The sequence below is a fragment of the Homo sapiens genome, chromosome 8, assembly GCF_000001405.40.
Source record: "Homo sapiens chromosome 8, GRCh38.p14 Primary Assembly".
In the NCBI taxonomy this organism is placed as follows: Eukaryota; Metazoa; Chordata; class Mammalia; order Primates; family Hominidae; genus Homo; species Homo sapiens.
In genome coordinates, this window is record NC_000008.11 from 62,563,343 (window position 1) to 62,589,223 (window position 25,881).

The 25,881-nt window shown below is 36.1% G+C and overlaps 1 protein-coding gene across 6 annotated transcripts in view; it reads left to right on the forward strand.

Annotated features, from left to right (window-relative positions):
* NKAIN3 (sodium/potassium transporting ATPase interacting 3) overlaps positions 1–25,881 on the forward strand; it is a 750,799-nt gene that overhangs the window by 314,489 nt on the left and 410,429 nt on the right. For all 6 annotated transcript variants that reach the window (NR_130764.2, XM_017013359.2, NM_001304533.3 and 3 more), the window contains exon 2: positions 16,197–16,334. Coding sequence is in view for 5 of the 6 variants with exons in the window: in XM_017013359.2 (XP_016868848.1) it covers positions 16,197–16,334 (138 nt within the window). In the remaining variant the exon portion in view is untranslated. The remainder of the gene's footprint in view (positions 1–16,196; positions 16,335–25,881) is intronic.

Below are 25,881 nucleotides of genomic sequence, written 5' to 3' on the forward strand. Positions count from 1 at the left end.
GCAATATTGACAGATTGTTTCCTTTTGCCTATTTTTTGTGACATTCTTACCTAAAGCATTATTGTGTTAGTATAAGAGAAGGAATGAGAGTATTCACTCCCTAAATTTTTATGGCATGATTTATTTTATATCTATATCAGTGTCTTTAGTGCTGCTTGAAAACAAGTATAAAAACCCTTCCCTTGGCAAGAACCTGTTAGTAAAATGTAAGATTATTTTTTAAATATGTACCACCAAAGGAAATATTTCAAATACTTAGTTATGAGAACCTCATTTCCCAGAGTTAAGCACCATAGCTTGAAACTCTTTATATTTAGTTAAGCTAACTGGGTTGATATAAGAGAAGCAGTGATTAAAATAATCTCTCACAGTGAATAACCCAAAAGTTATTTTTAGCAGGCTTTAGGTTTCTCTACAGGATGTTATGTACCCAATCTGCAGCTATTGTTTGAGTTATTCTAATTATATTTAGTTTAATGTACATTAAGAAAACACTTGACTTCTCCATGCACACACTGACAGACGGGGAGGAGAGAGCTTCCAAACCTAGTATTGAGCTCTGCAGGGAATTTCAAAACTCCTTGCTTTGAGTCACTTAAGTGCACAACCGTCAGGCAAACCATACACACTAGATTTTAATTTGCCTTAAATCAAAGGACAGAGAAAGCCCACAATTGGACTCTGTAACCTGATGCTGTGTAAGACCTTCCATAGGGATTCAAACACATTAGCTTCAAAACGGTGATTTTCTTCCCTGCTTTCAATGATTGTAACATATCCATCCAACAAGTTCTCTTGGTCAGTGTGAAGACTTAAGCAGAATTGACCTACTTTGTTCTTCACTTCACACAAATGATTGTCCTTTAGATACTAATTTTAAAAATATTAACACAAGGTCCCTCCTCTAAATCCCTTTGGCCACAGTTTGAGTTCACATCCATGCCATCTCCACCTGCTCACTGCAATACCTTCTGTCTTGCTCCCTACCCTCAGCCAGAGTCCCACCCTCACCCCCACTACCTCCCCACTCTCATTACAGAGCAAGATCAAAACAGCTCCAAACCCGACCAGGCATTTTTAAAGAATAATGCTGTTTATGAAACTTCTTTAAGCAAGAAATAAATCCTTTAATGGTTTCCCAGTACCTGCAAGGTAAATTCCGAAGTCTTTAACCACGTGCATCTTGCTTTTCTTTTCTCCTTGTGAGGCACATTCCACCATATGTGTTCTACACTGGAGTTATACAAACTCCAATTCTTGGCCTGCCCATTTTTAGGTTGGAAAATCAATTCAGTAGGTCTAGGCCAGCATTATATAATCAAATATAATAAAATAGAACAGAACAGAGCAGGTTATGGCACACATAATAAAGTTAACCATTGCTTCTTGATGTTTTGTTTCAGTATGTATGTGGTAGAAGATGTAAAATGTATTACCTATTGTGGGTGGACACACAAACCCACACACACACGGAGAAAATCTGTTTTTAACACAGATAATTTGAGTTTGTTGGCTAAAATATTTAGAAAATTTAGAATAGCAATAATGTTTAAATAACCAATATTTCACCATTCAGAGGTAACTTAGATATATGGATTTAATATTGTATGTTTCCATACACACAGCTGTACACATACATGATTTATATGCATAGCTACACAAGCATTTCATACACTTGGAAAATCTCAAAATATTTGTTGATTCAATGAATAAATATAAATTTCATGTTATTAACTAAAATCCCATTATACATACACATGATTTTTTCCTACATAAAGTATTGTGATCAGATTTTTATATCAATACATCTTGGATATACACTATTTTATGGGCATGTAGTATTTTATTTTTTTGATATATCAACATGTACTTTTATTATCCTATAATATCGGACACTTCATTTCCAAGCTCTCCCTTTATAAACATCATTTTCATATCATTATATAAGACCAAACATGTCCATATGTATGTATGTACCAATATATATGTATGTGCATATGTATACATGGGCATACGTGTGTGCGTGTGTGTGTGTGTGTGTGACAGAGAGCACCAGGCATGGATTTAAATGCCTTATACATATTAACTCATTTCATTACCAAAACAACAACTAAAGTTTCTATTATTTTCCTGATTTTACAGAGGGGAAACCGAGGCACAGAGTTTAAGGATGTTGCTCAGGGTCACATTTCAGTATAAATGGCAGAGCCAGGATTTGAAACAAAATGGTCTGGCCCAACAGTCTGAATATCTCCTACTACATAATGTTGCTTCTACAACTTGTGCAATTAAGAAAAAGACTTGAAAGTGGATTTAAATTTGGTGAAACTAAAATTGAATATAGATGCTACTTCACTTGTGTTGGGGTTATGTCCTGATAAACCCATTGTAAATTGAATATATTGAAAGTCAAAAATGCATTTAATACACTGAACCGAACCTACTGAGTGGTATAACTTATCCTAGCCTCCCTTAAATGTGCTCACATTAGACACTTAAATTACCCTACAATTAGGCAAAATAACCTAAGACAAAGTTTATTTTATAATAAAGTATTGAATATCTTGTAATTTATTGAGTGTCTATACTATAAATGAAAAACATAATGGTTGTATAGGTACTCAAAGTACACTTTCTATGAATGCTTGTTGCTTTTGCCCACTGTAAAGTCAAAAAATCCCAAGTCAATCCATCATCCTTGTAAGGCAGAGGCTATCTCCATTTTTAAGGCATTTATTTCAGAGGCACATCAGATACTGCATGGCTTATGGAAATGCTTTGTTCTACCTTTAGCTTTCATTGTTCTGCCCCCACCTTTTTCTTCTGGAATACCTTTGACCATGGCTTGAGAATAGTGTTCAACAGCAGCCTCTTTGTAAAGGTGCCTTGAATATGCTTGTCTTCTCAGGCAGAGGTTAAACACCTTTATTCTGTGTTCCTTTGGCTCTTTGGACACCCATTTACTATAGCATATATAATATTTTATTATAATTATTTGCTTTATGCCTGTCTTCTCCACCAGAGTAAGAACTAACTCCTCCAACCAAGAATTCTGCCATTCACCTTTGTACTCCTAGTGCTTACCTCATAATTAATAAATGAATGAGTGAACTAAAGAAAGAAAAAAATTAATTAATGGCTTTATATTTATAAAACCGAATCTAAAAGGAAATAGTGAATTATATTCTAATGGTTGGAGCAGAAGTATTTTTAAAAATGTTTTATGTTTGCATCACAATCTTTCCACATTACTTTAATCATATATGTAAAATCTTTCTCTCCATCTAGTCATCTGTTATCATTTGGTTTTCATAATCCCTGCCACCACAAAACATACCATACTCTGGACTCCAGAGACACCAGCTCCAACTTTTTTTTCAGTTGATTCATCTTTAAAGAGTCAGAGTATCTTGAATTTGATGAATGTCAGTAGAGCAGCTTGAAAATAAAAATCACTGCATAAGTGCTGAATGTTACTATTGATCATTAAGTATCACTAGACATAACTCAAATGATTTTCCTTATTATAGACATGAAAGTTATTTTTCTAGGCAAAGAAAAGGAACTTATTCATAATATTTTAATCTCAAATGGGGCATTAGTAGTATATAGGATATATATACTCTAGGATATATACTGGAAATCTTTGTCTTTTCCTTTCTGTTACGCTTTGTGGATATAGCTTTATAAGTACTTCTGTAGAGTTAAGGCTATGTTTCTTTATATCAAAATTCTTATACCTATATTACAAATTTTGAATTATAATGCTACTTCAATGAATTTTTCTGGAATGAAAACTTCCAGTGGATTCAGGATGGTGTGGGAGAAGTCCTGGTCACCTAAGTAATAGGGTTGGTCCTAGAAGGAGTGGAACAGACAGTAACATTAGCTCAGATGTGGTTTTCTGGGGTTGGAAGAAGAAAAAGAGAGACTCAAGATTCTTCTTAGACTGGTCAGGGCCGGGCTGAGATGTGCATACATGCCCACTAGCAGGCAGGGTACCATTAACAAGGGAACTCCGAATTGACAGAGCAAGAAGAAATGGTGTGGTAGGCAGAATATTGGTCCCAAAGATGTCCATGTCCGAATCACTGGAATGTGTTGAAATTTTACTTTACATGGCAAAGGAGAATGCATGTCACAGATGAAATTAAGTATTTAGCTGTTCTGGAAATTGAAAGTTTTCCTAAATTATCCAAAAGGGCTCAATGTAATTATAAAGGTCTTTATAAGTGAAAGAAGGAGACAGGTGAGAAGGAACAGAATGATGGTAGCATGAGGACTCAGCCCACTGTGGCTGGCTTTGAAGATAGTGGAAGAGGGCCACCCATCAAGAGATGTGGGGAACTTCTAGAAGCTGGAAAAGTTAAAAAAAAGGAAGTCTCCCCTATGGCCTCCAGAAGGAATGCAGCCCTTCTGATTCCTTGATTTTAGCCCATTGAGACCTGTTTCAGATTCTGGACTACAAAAGATAATAAAGTAATATAATATTATAAAGTAAAAAGATTATAAAGTAATAAAGTAATATAAGTTTTGGTAATTTGCTAGAACACTGAAATAGCAACAGGAAATAAATACACTACTTTTTCTACTTATTGAATGCCATCTATGTTTTTCACATGTGTATCAAATTAAAGATTACTGTTACCTGCTTTTGATAAATTGAAGGTTGACTAAGATAGCACAGCTAATAAGTTTCTGAAAAGTGCAACTTTCCTTTTGTAAACACTTGAGGAAGAAATTGCCACACCTAGATATGGGTGGGGTGGAGAAGAAAGAGGACTAAATCATGAAACACAGCATCATGCATCCTATATTTCTTCCTACATTTTATGATAAAGCTTATTTCTGAATTTAAACTCATTAAACAGTATGCATTTTGACTGCATGATTTCAGAGTGGTATGGTCAGAGCATAAATACACTAAGTCCCAGCTCTGAGTTTAATTAGTTGATCATTCTGAGTATCTTCCTATATCTAATAGGGATAGCATCAGATTAGATTAATAAATATAAAAAATTGAAGTGACAAATATTGTCATATACATAGTATTACTGTTTTGTAGGCTTTAGAATATTTCTTTAATATATTTGCCTTTTTCGACACATTGAAAATTTTGCGAAATCGTTTTCACTCTGCCAGTTGATATTCTGAGTCAGTGCACAAGAAAAACAAAAGACTTTCCTGAGTGAATTTGTGATACATAGATGTCCTTCACATGCACTTTTTCAGTTCATCAACTTCCATAAATCTGTCTATTTGCAATGTAATATTCATTCCTCTTTTAACAGAAAACTTTCCTTAAGATGTGATCCACAGTTCCTTATCTCTTAAAATAAAATAGACTTGCCGCACAACATGTAGCTGTTTTCTGAGATCCCATATTGTTTGCCTGGCAAAGTAGTTTACATCTTTATTATTGAATTTTAAGGATAGGAAATCCCCATTTCACTTCTTGAGATATAGGGACTAAAACACATATAAACAGAATTCAAGTAGCCTTTTCAAATATTCTGGAGACAATTTTTTCACCTAGAAGAGCTAGTTCAAGGAACAACCTAGACAATCACACTTGACATTAAGGAAAGTACTCTTCCACTGAGCATGTGCAATTCCACCTCACCTAGCTACATAAGCACTAATGATCATTCAGGCCACCAGGGATGGTACTAAAAACCAAGTAACAGGAAAAGGAGGTGATATATCAGACTACAACTGTCTGTTGGTCGAACTGCATCACAAGCATTACAAATATAGAATTCCTGGATCCATCTCAAAGTCTATGTTCATCCTAAGGCTTATTCACCTGCCTGTAGACACATGGAAACTTCTCCAGAGTAGCTCTGTCTAGCATAGTGGCAAGTCTCCAGGTTATTAGGACTCTGTGGTATTACATGATGAAGTAGGATCATGATACAAATGCTATTGAGCTTTTTTTCAGAGCTCTGAAAATAATACTCTGAAATTACAGTTTAAAATATAAAACTGTACTTGGCCTAACGCATGCTGATGTACATAGAAGTTGGGCTTCATCAACCTCAAGCATGAAAAGTCCCTTGGGAGTTGAATAGATAGGAGAGTTTAGAGCTAAGAATGTGTTAGTGGAGTTGAGGCATATGTGAACTTTCCAGACATAAAAAAGACTACTTCAGGCTGGGCACAGTGGCTCATGCCTGTAATCCCAGCACTTTGGGAGGCTGAGTTGGGCAGATTATTTGAGGCCAGGACTTTGAGAACAGACTGGCCATCATGGTGAAACCCCTGGTCTACTAAAAATACAAAAATTAGCCAGGCATGGTGACTCATACCTGTATTCCCAGCTGCTTTGGAGGCTGAGGCAGGAGAATCACTTAAACCTGGGAGGCAGAGGTTGCAGTGAGTCAAGATTGCAACACTGTACTCCAGTCTGGGCAGTAGAGTGAGACTGTCTGAAAAAAAAAAAAAGCCTACTTCAGTAACCCAAGACTTATTTGAAATGGCCTAGGAAATACCAATTTAGCTAATATGAATGATATTTAGAGCTTTTAAATCACACTTTAAGGAAAGAGTTGATTCTTCATGATTATGAAATATTTATCACATGAATTCCTAGGCTAGAGACTACACACAAGAGAGTAGCAGTCATACAATACACTTTAATTTATTTTGTGAAAGTATCGTTTGATCAAATGCTTTCTTAGGATTCTGCCAATATGTGTGACCCTGTTTTAATCTTTTTCATTGTGTCTACCTGTAGTGAACAGTGGAAAAATCCAAGTGGAATGAGAGTAAAAGGCAGCTCACTTTCCTTATTGTGAAGTTGAATCTCCAGGGGTACTCACTCCACAAGAATGAGCCTTCTTTCTTAGCTCTTCTTTGGGCAGATGCTTATCCTATAGACCAGTTTGGTCAGATACCAAGGAATATATTTAGTCACCTGAAGTTTTCATAGCTCTTTAGTTTTATGTGTAAATTAATGTTTACAATTAAGAATAAGTGTTATGAACAATTATGAAGAATGCCACATGAAGCATTATTCATCATATATGGGTGTATTAATCCGTTTTCACACTGCTGACAAAGACATACTCGAGACAGGGCAATTTACAAAGGAAAGAGGTTTATTGGACTTACAGTTCCACGTGGTTGGGAGGCCTCACAATCATGGCTGAAGGTGAAAGGCACATCTCGCATGGCAGCAGACAAGAGAAGAGAGCTTGGGGAGGGAAACTCCCATTTTTAAAACTATCAGATATCGTGAGGCTTATTCACTATTACGAGAACAGCACAAGAAAGACTCGCCCCCGTGATTCAATCATCTCCCACCAGGTCCCTCCCATAATATATGGGAATTATGGGAGCTGCAAGATGAGATTTGGGTGGGGACACAGAGCCAAACCATATCATTTCACCTCTGGTCCCTCCAAATCTCATCACATCTTAAAACCAATCATGCCTTTCCAACAGGCAGCTCAAAGTGAGCTGCCTTTTACTCTCATTCCACTTGGATTTTTCCACTGTTCACTACAGGTAGACACAATGAAAAAGATTAAAACAGGGTCACACATATTGGCAGAATCCTAAGAAAGCATTTGATCAAACGATAGTTTCACAAAACAAATTAAAGTGTATTGTATGACTGCTACTCTCTTGTGTGTAGTCTCTAGCCTACGAATTCATGTGATAAATATTTCATAAACATGAAGAATCAATTCTTTCCTTAAAGTGTGATGTAAAAGCTCTAAATATATTCTTATTAGCTAAGTTGGTATTTCCTAGGCCATTTCAAATAAGTCTTGGGTTATTGAAATAGGCTTATTTTTTTTTTTTTTTTCAGACAGTCTCACTCTACTGCCCAGACTGGAGTAAAGTGTTGCAATCTTGACTCACTGCAACCTCTGCCTCCCAGGTTTAAGTGATTCTCCTGCCTCAGCCTCCCAAGCAGCTGGGACTACAGGCAAGAGCCACCATGCCTGGCTAATTTTTGTATTTTTAGTAGACCAGGGGTTTCACCATGATGGCCAGTCATGAGGTTGGTTGCCGTGGTCTTGGACAGCTCCACCTCTGTGGCTTTGCAGGGTACAGCCTCCCTCCCAGCTGCTTTCGTGGGCTAATGTTGAGTGTCTGCAGCTTTTCCAGGCACACAGTGCAAGCTGTCGGTGGATCTACCATTCTGGGGTCTGGAGGATGGTGACCCTCTTCTCACAACTCCACTAGGCAGTACCCCAGTGCAGACTCTGCATGGGAGCGCCAACCCCACATTTCCCTTCCACACTGCCCTAGCAGAGGATCTCCATGAGGGCCCCGCCACTGCAGCAATCTTCTGCTGGGCATCCAGGCATTTCCATAAATCTGAAATCCAGACAGAGGTTCCCAAAGCCCATTTCTTAGACTTCTGTGCACCCACAGGCTCAACCCCACATGGAAGCTGTCAAGGCTTGGGGCTTGCACCCTCTAAAGCCTTGTCCTGAGCTCTATGTTGGCTCCTTACACCATAGCTGAAACATCTGGGACATAGGGCACCAAATCCCTAGGCTGCACACAGCATAGGAACCCTGGGCCGGCCCACGAAACCACTTTTTCTTCTTAGGCCTCCAGGCCTGTGATTGGAGGGACTGCCATGAAGACCTCTGACATGCCCTGGAGACATTTTCCCCATTGTCTTGGGGATTAACATTGGGCTTCTCTTTACTTAGGCAAATTTCTGTAGCTGGCTTGAATTTCACCTCAGAAAATGGGATTTTCTTTTCTATTGCCTCGTCAGGCTGCAAATTTTCCAAACTTCTATGCTCTGTTTCCCTTTCAAAACTGAATGCCTTTAACAGCACCCAAGTCACCTCTTGAATGCTTTGCTGCTTAGAAATTTCTTCCATCAGATACCCTAAATCATCTCTCTGAAGTTCAAGGGGACAAAATGCTGCCAGTCTCTTTGCTTAAACATAACAAGAGTCACCTTTGCTCCAGTTCCCAACAAGTTCCACATCTCCTTCTGAGACCACCTTAGCCTGGACCTTGTTGTTCAAATCACTATCAGTATTTTTGTCAAAGACATTCAACAAGTCTCTAGGAAATTCCAAACTTTCCTACATCTTTCTGTGTTCTTTTGAGCCCTCCAAACTGTTCCAACCTCTGCCTGTTACCTAGTTTCAAAGTCGCTTCCACATGTTCGGGTATATTTTCAGCAACACCTCACTCTACTGGTACTAATTTACTATATTAGTCTGTTTCCACACTGCTGATAAAGACATATGTGAGACTGGGCAATTTAAAAAGGAAAGAGGTTTATTGGATTTATAGTTCCACATGGCTGGGGAGGCCTCACAATCATGGCAGGAGGTGAATGACACATTTCATTTAGTGGGAGACAAGGGAAGAGAGCTTGTGTAGGGAACCTCCCCTTTTTAAAACCATTAGATCTCATGAGACTTATTCACTATCATGAGAAAAGCACAGGAAAGACCTGTCCCCATGATTCAATCATCTCCCACTAGGTTCCTCCAACAACGTGGGAATTATGGGAGCTACAAGATGAGATTTGGGTATGGACACAAAGTCAAACCACATCAATGTGTCAATAAGAAACATTGTATTTTAAAGGCACTCCCATTTGTCTCTATATACATTGCTTGAGGATGAAATAAGCAAGCAGGGACATTTCTTGCGTTACTGGGAGTATAGGTAGTTAATGCGGGGCATGGCTAATGATTCATAGACTTGCAGGAAATGTTATTTTCACCTTGGAGCCTCATAAGAAAACACCTGACTCTGCAGGAAGAATTTTAAAACATGCCCCTTCCTCCTTGCCATGACATACAAAATATAGACACATAACATTCAGCCCATTCCAACCTCTCTTAGATATACTTCATATGGTCAAATAACACTAATATTTTATTCAATAACCATACTGAAGACTTTGAAGTTTTTTACAATTTGATTCTTAAAGGTGTAATCTAATAAAACAGTTATAATGACTGTGAAATATTTTTCATGCAGCACCTAGCATGAGCTAGGGTTTCATTCCTCAATTGCAACTACAATGTTTCCTGTGCTGTGCCACTCAGCAAGGCTATTTCAATGGTTTCTTCAATATACATGAAAATCATGCCTCATTTTAATTTTTTGGTATTTTTGAACCATGCTTTCGTTATGTATATGATTTGGTTTCTTTTCCTTCTTACTTCCCTCCTCTCCTCCTTCTTTCTTTCCTGCCTTCTTTTCTTCCTTTTTATTAAGATCCTGATTGCCTTTACTTTGTAACTTTTTAATACAAGATATTTATTTTCATCCTATTCTTTATAGTGTACAGATTCTTACCTACTTTAGCTTTCTTTTAGAAATAATTCCACTGTTCTTTTTTTAAGTGTCTAAGATTTTCAAGTTTTATTTTATTTTGTTCATTCTTTTTAAGCTTTTAATTTTTAATTTTGTGGGTACATAGTAGGTGTATAGACTTATGGGGTACATGTGATTTTATGATAAAGGCTTGCAATGTGTGATAATCACATCAAGATAAATGGGGTATCCATCATCTCAAGCATTCATTCTTGTTGTTACAAACAATCTAATTATACTTTTGTAGCTATTTTAAAATGTACAATTAAATTATTACTTACAGTCACCCTGTTGTATTATCAAATACTAGACCTTGTTCATACTTTCTATTTTTGTTGTACTCATTAACCTCTCCACTTCCTCCAACCCCTACTACCCTTCTCAGCCTCCGGAAGCTATCATTCTGCTCTCTGTCTCCATGAGTTCAATTGTTTTTATGTTTAGCTCCACAAGTAAGTGAGAACATGTGAAGTTTGTCTTTCTGTGCCTGGCTTATTTCACTTAACATAATGACCTCTAGTTCTGTCCATGCTCTGGCAAATGACAGGATACAAATGACAGGATCTTATTCTTTTTATGGTTAAATAGTACTCCATTGTGTATATGTGCCACATTTTCTTTATCCTTTCATCTGTTAATGGACAGAGGTTGCTTCCAAATCTTGGCTATTGTGAATAGTGCTGCAATAAACGTGGGAGTACAGATATCACTTTGATATACTGATTTCCTTTCTTTTGGGTATAAACCTATAAGTGAGATTGCTGGATCATATGGTAGCTCTATTTTTAGTTTTTTGAATTTATTTTATTTAGTTTATTTTAACAAAAATAACAAAATTGGAGGAATCACATTACCTGACTTCAAATTATACTACAGAGCTATAGTAACTGAAACAGCGTGGCACTGGCATAAAAACAGACACATAGATTAATGGAACAGCATAAAGAACCCAGAAATAAATTCAAACCGTTCTCCATAGTGGTTGTAATGATTTACGTTTCCACCAACAGTGTACAGGGTTTCCCTTTTCTCTACACCCTTGCCAGCATTTGCTATTGCCTGTTTTTTGGATATAAGCCATTTTAACTGAGGTGAGATCATATCTTATTGTAGTTTTGGTTTGCATTTCTCTGATGATCAGTAATGTTGACCACCTTTTTATATACCCGTTGGCCATTTATATGTCTTCTTTCAAGAAGTAACTCAAAAACCATATGATCATTTCAATTAATGCTGAAAAGGCATTTGATAAAATTCAACATCCCTTCAGGATAAAAACCTTTAAAAAAAAAACTGGGTGTAGAAGGAATTACCTCAACAAATAAAAGCCATATACAATGGACCAACAGCTAGTATCATACTGAATAGGGAGAAACTGAAAGTGTTTCCTCTAAAACCTGGAACTCAACAAGCATGCCCACTTTCATTACTGTTATTCAGCATAGTACCAGAAGTACTAACTAGAGCAATCAGATAAGAGAAGGAAATAAAAGGCATCAAATTGGGAAGGAAGAAGTCAAATTAGCCTTGTTTGCAGATGATATGATTTTATATTTGGGAAAACCTAAAGACTCCACCAAAAATATAAGAACTGACAAACAAATTTAGTAAAGTTGCAGGATACAAAATCAACATACAAAAATCAGTAGCATTTCTGTATGCCAACAGCAAACAATCTAAAAAAGAAACCCAGAAAGTAATCCCATTTATAATAGCTACAAATAAAATTAAATGCCTAGGAATTAACCAAAAATGTGAAAGATCTCAGCAATAAAAACTATAAAACATTGATGAAAGAAATTTTAAGAGGACACCAAAAAATGGAAAGATATTCCATGTTTATGGATTGAAAGAATCAATATTGTTAAAATGTCTACACTACCCAAGGCAATCCACAGATCTGAGGTGCTCTCTACCAAAATACCAATGACATGCTTCACAGAAATAGAAAAAACAATCTTAAAATTTATATGTAGTCACAAAACACCCAGAATATCCAAAGCTATCCTTAACAAAAATAACAAAATTGGAGGAATCACATTACCTGACTTCAAATTGTACTACAGAGCTATAGTAACTGAAACAGCATGGCACTGGCATAAAAACAGACACATAGATTAATGGAACAGCATAGAGAATCCAGAAATAAACTTATATATCTAAAGTGAACGAATTTTTTGACAAAGATGCTAAAACCATAAATTGGGGAAAGGACAATCTTTTCAATAAATGGGTCAGGGAAAACTGAGTATCCATATGCAGAAGAATGAAACTGGACTCATATCTCTTGCCATATACAAACATTAAATCAAAATAGATTTAAGGCCTAAATCTAAGACCTCAAACTATAAAACTACTAGAAGACAACACTAGGGAAACTCTCCAGGTCATTGGACTGGGCGGATTTCTTTAGGAATATCCCACAAGCACAGGCAACCAAACCAAAAATTGACAAATGGGATCACATCGAGTTAAAAAGCTTCTGCACAGCATAGGGAACAATCAACAAAGTGGAGGGACAACTCTCAGAATGGGAGAAAAAAATTGCAAACTACCCATCTGACAAAGGGTTAATAAATCAGAATATATAAGGAACTCAAACATCTCTATTAAAAAATCTAATAATCTGATCAGAAAATGAGCAAAAGATGCATTTTTCTTTAGGTCTGCTGATTTCACCTTCTCTGGAGCATCTTACTGCCTTTAGATTTTCTTTATTTCTCTACTTTTTTTAAAACTCAAGTTCTGTAAAGGTCTCATTCATTCTCTTCGCTTGGGCATCTCTGCAGAGATCCTCTTTCAGTCCTCTACGCTTCTGCCCTCATCTGGACCGAATGCTTTCTATTTATGCTACATTACAATTTAGTGACTTCCTTCCACTGCTTTTCTGAATCACAACCACTGTTTTCTAGGTGCCATATTCAGTGGTGTGCAGGTAAAAATTTAACATAGGTTCTCGAAACATGCATATAAACAAATTCTAATTTTCAGCATTTTCTGATTTCCATTTTGCAAATATTCCCATCATGGCAGACATCAAGTTCCCAACTTAAGTTCACTGACCATAGAATGGGGAAGGGATGCCTCCTGCCCCCTCAACCAAGGCTAGCATCTCCCCAACACCACAGATTAGAGCCATTTTAACAGAGATATTTCTAAAGAACATTCATCCATTTTCTGACTTAACAAAGCAACTTGGATATAATTTCATCTTATTTGGGGTCTCTGGGTCATTATTATAAATATTACAGTCAAGGGCAAAAAGTGGTGTCTCTAGAGATTATGACATTTAGAGAGAAAATATTAGCCAGTAAACAAAATGGCTAAATAACTAAAATGGAAGTTAGATAGAATAATTAGGTAAAAAATACAATGGTGCTTTGTTTATTTTTGAAGGCTTGTTGTTTTTAGTTACCTTTTCAAATTTATAATACTCAAATCTAGTTTTCACAGTTTGTTTAGTTGTTACAGCTGCCCTTCTCTGTATTCTCGATATGCTCCCTTCTCTGTTTTTCATGACTTTTTATTTGTGCTCTTATTTCTTCCCACCTCAATTCATTTTTTTAAGTTCTCAGGGAATAAATATTAATAAATAGAGAGAGTGCCTTGAATATAAAATGCATATTTTCTCATAAGTGGCATTAATTTGGCTTCCCTTTCATTACCTGTGTTTTCTTTAATATCATAAAAGAGAATGTTATCCATGCATCTACTGACAGAAAAGAAAATGAGTTTTTCTCTTTGAAAGTTCACCTTAAAGCTTTTTGTCATGCACAACTGCTTTAAAATAGCGTGGGTGTTTTTTTGTTGTTTTTTTTTTGGTTTTTTTTTTTGTTTGTTTTTCTGAATGAATGGCCTGCAGCTGCTCTTCAGGGTTTCCTTTTTTTTTTTTTTTTTAGTATTTTAGTTATGTTTGGACATTTAAAAAATACATATTTGTATCACTGATGGCCCTATAAATAAAATGCTGCATAGAAAAGTTCCCAGGAACTAATTTTTAGAGAAAGGTTCCTGGGGACTAATTAGAGTCACAAGCAGAGACAAGCAGGAGGTTGAAAACACTGTGTTGCTTCTTATCTTGCTCTGATATTTTGCGTTTTAGCCATGTCTGAACATTTATGGATTCAAGAGATGAATCCTGAATGTATCCTGAATCATATCACTCCATGATCAGGAAATACCCGTGAAATGAATGTGGGTCTGTTGTGGTTTTCTTTAGGCTTCGCTCTCTTCTCTTTTCCGCCACCGCTTGCTGAAGGCAAATCTTAACCAAGGTAAATTCAGCTTACTGGATAGAGGACATTTCTTTATGTCCAAGGAAATTAAAGCTATTCAAGCATACACCTGCCACATAACTAGAAAAATACCCAGGGAGCCATTTTCATTTCAAAGCTGCAGTTTCCAGTGCCATCAGTATGGCTAATCACTGGATCATTTTATTAGAATTACTATTTTATCAATACAAAACTAGAAAAATGCCTGAAAAGTATAATGATTTGTGTCCAAATACAGCAGGTGATATTGTAAAATTTTTCAATGTAGAATACAAGAAATACTGTTAGAACATAATAATGGCATTTTTGGTATTCACTGGACCATATGAAATGCATCTGTTTCATCATAAATTGTTGTGTATATATTGACACACTTTATAATTGTTTTAAAATGTAGATGTATGTAATACAAATATAATAAACTCTGGCATGTCTAAAATTGTAATGACCTCATAATTTCTGTCTGGTATTCTAAAAGGATGCTATCTAATCCAAGATAAATTTTCTTGTAGGTATATGATCTCAATAAAATGTGATTCAAGGGGGTTAACTCTAGTTTTAGATCAGAGTCTTGAGCCCAGAGTAAGTAAATGAGTAAGCTTCGTTTTGAACAGGTGGTTAGTCATTATCACCACTGGCAATCTTAGGAAAGGAAAAGAAAGAGACAAGATTTGGCTAACGTATATTTCACACAAGAAAGCAGGGATAGGTAGAAGGTTTTTTTTGTTTTTTGTTTTTTTTCCAAAATGGTACTAGTTCTAGTGTCACAAGCCTGGAGTTCTTTGTTTTTGATCCAATTATGTTATACTAAGCCAATCGTTTTATTAAAAATAATGATATGAAATAAGCCAATCACAGAAAGACAAAGTTCACATGTTCTCCCACTTATTTGTGGGAGCAAAAATTTAAAACAATTGAACTCATGGAGATAGAGAGTAGAATGATGGTTACCAGAGGCTGGGAAGGGGAGCGAGGAAAAGATAAAATGAGGATGGTTAATAAATGCAAAAATAGAGGTAGATAGAATGAATAAGATCTGGTATTTGATAGCACAATGGGGTGACTATAGTCAACAATAATTTATCACATATTTTAAAACAATTAAAATAGTGGAATTGGAATGTTCCTAACAAAAAGAAAAGAGGAATGTTTAAGGTGATGGATACTCTACTTACCCTGCTGTGATTATTACATATGTATGCCTATATTAAGACATCACATGTACCCCATAAATATATATACCTATGATGTACCCCTCATAATTAAACATAATTTTTAATATAAAAATAACAATGATAAACTTAAAACATAAAAAATCTGTCTGGATTTTCTACTGTAGAAAATGATTTAAGAGGTGTACCTCTCACTCTCCAGATAGATTTAAAATCTAATTATACTTGAAGTTATAATGCTTAAAACTATCTTAGTATATTTTGAGAGAAGGTGCATAAAACAGCACATGAAATAAGAATGAAAATTCTAATAATAACGGTGACAAAAAGTGTGATTGAAGTTGAATATGCAGACTCCTCCAGCCATGAGATAAAGATTAAAATAGTATGATGATGCTTGGATTCAATGCTAATGAACTTTCTTTTTTTGTTGTAGGTCTCAGCATTAGAGAGGCAGATCTTTGACTTCCTTGGTTTCCAGTGGGCGCCTATTCTTGGAAATTTTCTACACATAATAGTTGTCATATTGGGTTTGTTTGGGACCATTCAGTACAGACCTCGATACATAATGGTGGTAAGTCTTATTTTTATCATTTTGCTTCATATAAACAATTCAAAATTTCTATAAGAATATAAATAAAATATTTCTAAGTGGCCCCTTCTGATATAATGTGGCATTGCTTTTCTAGCCCTCAAATGTTAAATTTTGTTAAGAAGTGATTATCTGTGGAAAATACAAAATAATGAATGTTGTACAGTCAGATCAAAACAACATGCTCAAAAGTGTATGATGACATGGTGTCACTCACAACGTAACTGAATTCAAGTTTTACAAGGAAATTCAAAATAGTGGTTGGATAGAGTAGGAGGTCTGCTTGTAGTCTTGGTAATAGGATAGTTAGATGCAATGTACATTAACCATTAATTTATCATAACTTTCAGTGACATTTGTCACTAACTCCAAAAAACAAATCTTTCTAGCATAATTGTTTAGTCACTGAAAACAATAATGTATTTTAATTTTAATTGATTTAGGACATTACAAGTGCATGTATGGATGGATATTTGGTACACATCCCTAACATTTCATACTGATTGATATTGAATATTTCTCTGTTTGTCAAGATGAATTTGAAACATATATCCAAAACTTGGTCAGCACACACTCCATTATAGGACAGTTTAATGAGGTGTATGCTGTGACCCACAATCTAATGGAAGTTATTCACAGTAATTAGTTGTCTTTTCTATAACATAAAAGAGTTCATTACTATAGGCTACCATGTGAGAAGGTTGTGAGAAATAATAAGCATATATACGTATTGTAAGTTGGAGTAACATACTTTAAAATGTTCATTAAGCCTGAATAAATATACAGTGTTCAGTAGAATTACTAGATATTTTCTTGGGATACACTGATATTGCCTCACTAGAAGAAAATCATAGACTTAAAAACATGCCATCTTTCCATTTTGACATAATCTAATTCCACCTGTGGAAAATAATAAAGTTATAATTTTTCTCTGTTAATCCATTCTCTATTTTGATTTTTAAACTTGGCTTTTTTATTTCTTTCACCATTTCACAGAGATATAGATAACTGAATAGACTGCATTCCAATGGCCTTGGGAGCATTTGATAGCTCTCAATTTGCTGCCAGGGTTAAACAATTTCTGCTTTACTTTCCTTCTCTTAGAAATAGCCTCAACCAGGTACGGTGGCTCACATCTGTAGTCCCAGCACTTTGGGAGGCTGAGGCAGGAGGATTGCTTGAGCTCAGGAGTTCAAGAGCAGCTAGGGTTTTTATATATATATATATATATAGAAATCCAGTGTCTACAAAAAAATACAAAAAGTAGCCAGACATTGGGGGGCCTGTGGTCCCAGCTACTTGGGGGGCCAAGGCAGGAGGATCGCTTGAACCCAGGAGATCAAAGCTGCAGTAAGCCATGATCATGCCACTCCACTCCAGCCTAGGCAACAGAGAGAAACCTTGTCTCAAAAAAATATAAAATAAAATAAAATAAAATAAAATAAAATAAAATAAAATAAAATAAAATAAAATAAAAATACAGTAGCCTCTGCTAAGTAACTACACAATCTCCTAGAAGGGGGTTTCATGGAGTTGGACTTGAGGCCTAAGATGCTTTCATAACATGCATAATCAAGCTATTATCAAATTCTAAATGTGTTCTAGTTTGTTACTATGAATATAGAGCAGTTTTACTCATTACAGACTTTTTGTTTTATGATATTGGTATTCTGCTGCGAAACAAAATACCTGGTGGCTTTGAAACCATAGATGGCTTCCAGAGAATGAAGCTATAGGTAAACACCAGTGACATTTAGTCCTGGTGATTTTACCCTCTAAATGTTAACCGTATGCACTATTCACATAACTGCTGCCTTTGTTGAGGCTTATGCCTTCTCTCTTCTATAGATAGACTTTGCCTCTTATTTTCTACCTTTCTCCCTTCCAATTTGCTCTTTGTACTTTTCTTAAATTACTGGCTTAAAACCACCACTGGGTCCTTAGCTGGATAAGATCTAAGAATATTCTTGCCTGATGTACTTGACCAAACTCATATCTAACCATTCTTCCTTTTTTCCTTCCTTTGTCCCCCACCTTCCTCCCTCCCTCCATCCATCCCTTCTTTCCTTCCTTCCTCCCTCCCTCCCTCCCTTTCTCCCACCTATCCTCCCTCCCTTCCTTCTTTACTTCCTTCCCTCTTTCCTTTTTTCCTTCCTCCCTCCCACCCATCCTCACTCCCTTCCTTCTACCCTTCCTCCCTCCCTTCCTTCTTTCCTTCCTTCCCTCTTTCCTTTTTTCCTTCCTCCCTCCCACCTATCCTCCCTCCCTTCCTTCTATCCTTCCTCCCTCCCTTCCTTCTTTCCTTCCTTCCCTCTTTCCTTTTTTCCTTCCTCCCTCCCACCCATCCTCACTCCCTTCTTTCCTCCCTCCTTTCCTCCCTCCCTCTCTCCCTCCCTCCTTCTGTCTTTCCTTCCTTCTTTCCTTTTTCCTTCCTTCCTTTCTTCCTTCCTTCCTTCTTCTTTCCCTTCCTCTCCCCATCCTCTTTCCTTTACTCACTTCTTTCTTTTCTAACTTTCCTTCTCCCTTTTTTCTTCTACTTATTAATTCAAGAGATATTTATTGAGCTTCTACCCTGTGTTTGGCCTTGTGTTAGGTGTGGACTATACTGGTGAGCAAAAACAGACAGACACATTCTCTGTCTTCCTGGGTGCTTACCTTACAGTGCAATGAAGAGAGGTGTGCCTTTATCAAACAATTGTCCACATAAATGTTAAATTGCAACTGCGATAAGTGATACGAAGGAGCACACTAGCCATGAGATGTCTAATGGGGTATCTGCCTGTAGCCGGGCAATGGGGTTAGGCACCCTGCAGGGAGCTGAGAGCTGAGGTCTGCTCTCAGTATGAGAGTGAGTCACGAGTATGAGACAAGTGTGAGAGTGAGTCCACAAGGGAACAAGGGAGTGAAGGGGGGTCTGGGCCGGAGGCACCACAAGGTCCATAGAAGGGGGACTATCAGAGCAGTTCTGATTTACTCATTAAGCATCTATTGAGGACCTGTACTGTGCTAAGTTTGGAAAAATAGGAAAGAATTCAAATGTCAGAGGCCCTGCTCTGCAGGCACTAACCATGTAAGGAGTGAGGAGGCGCAGGTTCTGGGGCTCTCTAGAGGTGAGTAAATGGCAGTGAAGAGGAATGAGATCATCAGTGGGGCAAGGCCTAGGGGAAGGCCTGAGCCAGGTGTGGAGACCCAGGAGGGCTGAGAGTCTGCACACCTCAGTGTCATGGGCCTCCTGCTGCACCTGCCTCACCAGCCTCATGCTCTGGTAGCCTTGCCTGGTGTTTGTGTCCCGGTCTAGCAATATTTCCTCAGTCTCTCATGGATACCTTCTTCCATACACGTTAATGGTGAATCACTCTCTGCTCCTTCACCTCTAGAGTGTCTTGAGTATGTTTTATAATTTGTTCATGTTTATGTCTTCTAGGCAAAGTGTTCTTTGAGAGCATAGAATGTAATTAGCGCTCAGTACATACTTATTGATTATTTTTCCTATCTAGTGTCCTACTAGTTCACAGAGTCCACCCATGATGAAACTGCTGTCACTTCTCTGCTGGTACTTTTTCCTTTGCTTCCCTCTCTCCCTCCTCCCTCCTATGCGTAGAGGAAGGCAGTTTTAGGTCTTTCAGAATCTTCAAAGAAAAGCATCAACAAGACCAACAATCCATGTTTTTGCTCATCTTGATGGTCTCTTTTTATGGATTATGCCAACCAAGTCTCTCTCATTTTATTTGCTATCTTATTCAGGATCCTCTCTCAGGAAGGGGAGAGAAAGAAAGCAACAAATTTGTGTGAAAGCTGTCCATGCATGTCATTAGGTTTCATTCTCATAAATATCCTACAGGGCATGTATTAGCTTCTCTGATTTCCCAGATGAGAAAAGAGGTCAGAAAGATTGAGCGACTAGCCCAAGGAACACAGGTGGTAGTGGGCAGCAGAACTGGGTGTGTACTGGCCTGTGATTGTTAGGTTCAAGGAGCTGCTAGAGCATGATCTGTGCTTTGCTTTCACTGGCAGATTCCAGATGATAATGTTACCATTGTCAGTATAAGTTGTGATATAGGAAACAGTCTTGGCCTACCTCCCAGTCAGATATTGTTACCTTTATGAAGCTCCAGATTACGTCTTATTCTAATATGGGTATAAATTATCTATTTGATAAAAGTACCTAAAGAATCATTAATCTATGAGTATGAGAAATCTGTTCACAAAAATTGCCTTTTAAAAAAGAGCATGTTGTTATTTGGGAAGGTTTTTTTTAATTCATTCTTGAGTTGTTGTCACAAATGCTTTGGTTTGAAGCTACAACTGGTGGCCTAGAATTAATTCTGATATTTAAAAAAACTGAAAATGAATGTGGCATATGTCCCATTAGAGGCAGCAGCTTTTCAATGGCAGTGAGAAGAGTTCTGGAGCAGAAATCCATACTGACTTTTCACTGTGAGGGGAAAGAGCTTTTTCATTGCAAGAGATTTTCTCTCAAAATTGCTTCTTCTATTTTTAGTATTGTCTTCCTTTATTGGCCAAACCACCACACAGATAGGTCAATTAAATTTAATCCATTTCAAAATAACAAACACTTTGGAGCACCAGGTATGTGCTAAGTGCTCACGCAGAGATTAATAAAATATGTATGTTCACTGAGACAATTTAATAGACCTCTAGTTTTACAAAAACACAGATAATTTACTGCCATTTTGGACAAGAGACAGGGTTCATCACAGCTGAGTTTAAGTAATTGATCACCTTTATGAAAATGTTTTGGGTAAAGGACCATGAGACTCAAGCTCACCAGTGACTAGCTTTTCCAAACTCTTAGAGTCTAAATCAAAGCTTATGAAAATTGTTTCTTTATCTACTTCTCCAGCACCTCCTGCATTCCCCATTTGCCTACCTTGTGCCAGCCACACTGAATGATTTGTGTTTTCGAAAGACCACATGCTGCTTTTGCCTCTTCAGTTTGCACATACTGCTCCTTCTGCCTGGAATGCCTTAATCTCTCTATCCTCTTGGAAAACCTTTAATAATCCTCAATTAAATAGTCACCTTTTACAGGCCTTGCCTGACCACTGAATGCAAGGGAAAGTATCTCTTCCCTTCTGCTACTGTAAATCCTGGTAACTTTCTACCCCAGCACCCTACCCGGCTGTCATCATTGCTTCGCTACCTGTCTTGCCCCATTCAACAATGTGTACTTCTGGAAGGCAGAACTGTGCCCATCTATTGCTGTATTCTAAGCCTATTCCTGTGTTCTAGGCCAATTCCTGTATGTACAGACCATTAGATATGCTTAATACTTGATTGGGCAAACAATAAATAAATCAAAGTTTATTGGATGAAAGGATTTTACAAGATGGAATGGACAGGGACTTTTTTAAAATCTCAGAACATGACAGCAATGTACTGCCTTGCTTATCTCAGCCTGAACTTGGTTGAGGGAATTAATTATATGATAAAATAGTATGTGCTGTGCTGCCTGCACCTACCATTAGCTGACTTACTCCTCAAGACTTATTTTTTTCTAAGATGTAGTGTTGCGAGCTCCTGCCACTATAATTGAGGAGGCCTCTCGGCAAAGACTATTAGAAAAACCACCCCAAATCACAGAATCAAAGATCAATAATTCCCTTCCAGGTACCATCACACTATTAAGGTACAATTTACTATTTCTGTATTTATTTTTAGAATATGAAAACAACTTTGCCACATAGTACTCCTTTACTCATGAAAGTATTTTGGCTAAGGTGCAAGGTGGAATGTGTACCTTAGGGCAGCCATTCCCAAACTTTTTGACACCAGGAACTCATTTCATGGAAGACAATTTTTCCAGAGGTTGGGCGAGTTGGTTTTGGGATGAAAATGTTCCACCTCAGATCATCAGGCATTAGTTAGATTGTCATAAGTAGCCGCAGCCTAGATCCCTCGCATGGGTAGTTCACAATAGGGCTTGTGTTCCTATGAGAATCTAATGCCACGCTGATCTGACAGGAGGCAGAGCTTAGGCAGTACTGGTCTGTGGCCTGGAGATTGGGAACCCCTGCTTTAGGGGAATACTGTGTTCTGTCTTGCGTTTTGAATGGGCCTTATGTGCTTCTTTGGCTATAGACAGTATGAAGCAGTGAAATCATATTTACCCTTCACAAAGCATTGTTGTAGAATCAGTTATTTCCTATCTGTTTACTCCTCGGTCAAATATGTTTTATTCTACTTCTAAATTTAAAAATAAGATTTTTGTCCTATAATTACTTAAATCTTCATTATTTCATGGGTGATAATTTAATCAAGCAGGTTTTAACTCACATGCAGATGAATTAGCAAATTTGTTTAACATTTTTTGAAATAAGATTAACCTTGAAATTAAAATTAGCTCAAAACTGCCTTTAAAAATTTGTAAAGGGTCAAGTGAATTTGAAAAGTCCGCAATTTAGTTATCTGGACTTTTATGCAAATGCTCATGTGCAAAGGACAATTCATTTTAATCTGAATTGTTATATAGCAAAATTTTTCTGCTATGTCAGCATAAATCCCATTCTTGAGTCACTGCTCAACATGAAATTGAGTGTTAGGTTTTGATTCAATTGGTAAATGTCAAACCTAAATTCCTCTTCACCAGTTATTGGCTGTGAAGCCTTGGGATGTTTGTTTGCTTTCCTTTTGCCATAGTTACCTCATTTGAAAAACTTGACCCATGTATCATTTTAAATAATTATATAACGTATATGACTTGCTTACTATAGCCTAACACAGAGTAAATGTTTGACAAATGTTTGAGATGTTCATATGTCTTTTTTTCCCCTTTACTCTACTAAAAAATGTTACAACAATGACTGAGCAAGAAACTTACTCTACATTTTTATTATAAGTCTAGCATATTGTATATGATATTATAGCAAATTGATGTGTATATGAAAGAATGAATGAATGGTCTTTCTCGTAATTAGAAAATAAGCAAGCTCAGAAAGTAAAAATAATTCATATTATAAACTAATTGCTTGATGGGGAAGAAATAGACTGGAAGATGTCCAAAGTTTATTTCCATTAAAAAATGCTGAAATATCCTTGTAAAACTAGGATATATTTAGGAAGCCACATAGAATGCATAAACATTCTTTTTTCATTATTATAGGTCTTGTCTATGTGGATCTGGATTTAAAATATATATACTAAACATAAGCAAAGTAGAAGAGAGATGGAGAGATTATGCAGAGTGATTTTTTTCTTATATTGAAAAGCTTTCTTTACTACAAGTATATTTAATATACCTAAATACATGATGTAAGCCTGCTTTATAATAACCAAAGGGTATTTGTTTAAAAATGGAGAGTCTTATTTTTTAAATTATTGCTTCAGTTGAATTATAAATGAAATAACCCACTTCAAAAAGAAGATAGGGAAGGTAGGCAGTCTCTTTGGCCATTGGTTATCCCAATGCTTCCTGCCTAGCTAAATTTCTATGGCCATATTTGTATCTCTAGCTATCTCTTTTCTTTTATACTCATGATCAGATTTGTGTCTCAAGTGCACATTAAGGTATACTTCATACCTTATAACAATTCAAAAATCAAAAATATATATTTTCTTTGTTCTCAGCAAAGAAACACAAATTTATTAGAAGAAACTTGTAATGTAAATGTACTAGAAGATATTACACAATATTGCTAAAACAAACAACACAAGAATTCCATATTATACATGTCACACTAATTGTAAAATACTAAAGATACTGTCATTCTAAAATAAATTGCCAATTATAGAACATATATGAATAAAAATTTGAGGTAAACTGGTAATTTGGGGAATTGGTCATTTGACAAATTGCTTAATTTGGTGACTGGTTATCTTGCCATGAATCTATAATCCTTTTACTAAAATCTTTTAAAACAAAGCCTACCCTGTATGTTTAAGCATCCCAGCTCTGAAATCAAACTATCAGGTGTCAAATCCTAACTCTGACACTAAATAGGTGATTAAATGATTATCCCTCTACCTCGGTTTCAGTGTGATGATTGAATGACATGATATATGTAAAGCACTTACCACAATACCAGGAACACAGAAAGCACCAGGATAATAACCCTTTTATTGTCAAAAACGTAGGAACTGACAGTTGAGGTTTACATAGCCTGGTAATTTTGCCTTTGCAAGTTCAGAAGTAGCATCAAGATTACAACTTGTGAGAGATCCTGAATATACTTCAATCACCAAGTTTGTGCTATGATCTTTAAATAGATGTGTTTTATTATGCATTTGTTATAACTATGAATTGATTCACTAAAAAATACCTGTGCATTTAGGAATTAGTCCCAATAATTAAGTCCTATCATATGGTTTTGTAATTAATTTAGTTTATTGCCTTACTTTAATATTGCTTTATTTTATGTTCTTTTCCTAATCTTTTTCAATGGCTTTTTTCTCTTGACTTAGAGGTTAGCATTGCTCTCTCATTTCAATATACTTATAATTAGATTTATTTAGAATGGAAGATATCAAACACTAGATGCCATCTTGCTAGCAAGAGCTTCAAAACTTATTGAAAGTTTAAAATTTACTAAGTCCACTCTTACTAGAAGACTTTATGAACAGAATATATTACAGCATCAGCAATACCTGCATATACCAAAAATCTCACTATATATTTTTACTTATCTTAACTTTTTAACATGTTTTCCAACTAAATTTCCAGTGATTTTTGAGCTTTTACTCATTATTATAATTGTATTATCTTAAAAATGAAAGCAAACCTCCTTTCAGAAAAACAAATATATGATGGAACATTAAATGTAACCAGTTATAGGACTATACTACTATATGAGATTATTTTAAAAATTCATAAATGACAGAATACAAAATATAAATTGAATTTCATAAATAGTTAAAAGCTTCTGATAAAGTTTCTATTAGTAACATACCTATATTACACAGAGTCTAAATTTTATAATTCTATTGTTTGGCACAGCATAGAATAAGCTAAATAAATGATTTCAGTATTTATTTTAATTTAAAAACAGTATGCAATGATTGTAATCACTGATAGAAAACAATAATTAAATTAATAAGTCTACTTAAGACATTAAGAATTCATTCATTTTTGTGATAAAATAAAACGAATAGGCAAACTGTTGTATTTGATATGTTATTTGTGTTCTACAGTAAGTACTATCCTCAGTCATCCTAGCTGGTCTGTATGTCACTTTTCTGGGCCTCCATTAGTTTGTCTGCATAAAAAAGTGACTGGATGAGAGGAGCCATAGTCCAATCATTGATTCTCCATTGATGAGTCTCTCGATCTAGGGCTACCTTAATTAAGACCGACTAATACTCTGGGAGAAGGTATTTCCTAATACATAATATCTTAATAAAATCAATTAATCAGTAAGACCAGTAGGTTTAAAATTTGTTGGCTGGATATGATTGGAAGATATGAAAATCTGTTATTCATTTCCTCATTCTTAATCCTATTTATTAATTTCTCTGCTTTAAAATATTTTATATGGTTATATTTTTATTATATGATCATATTAGAGGCACACAT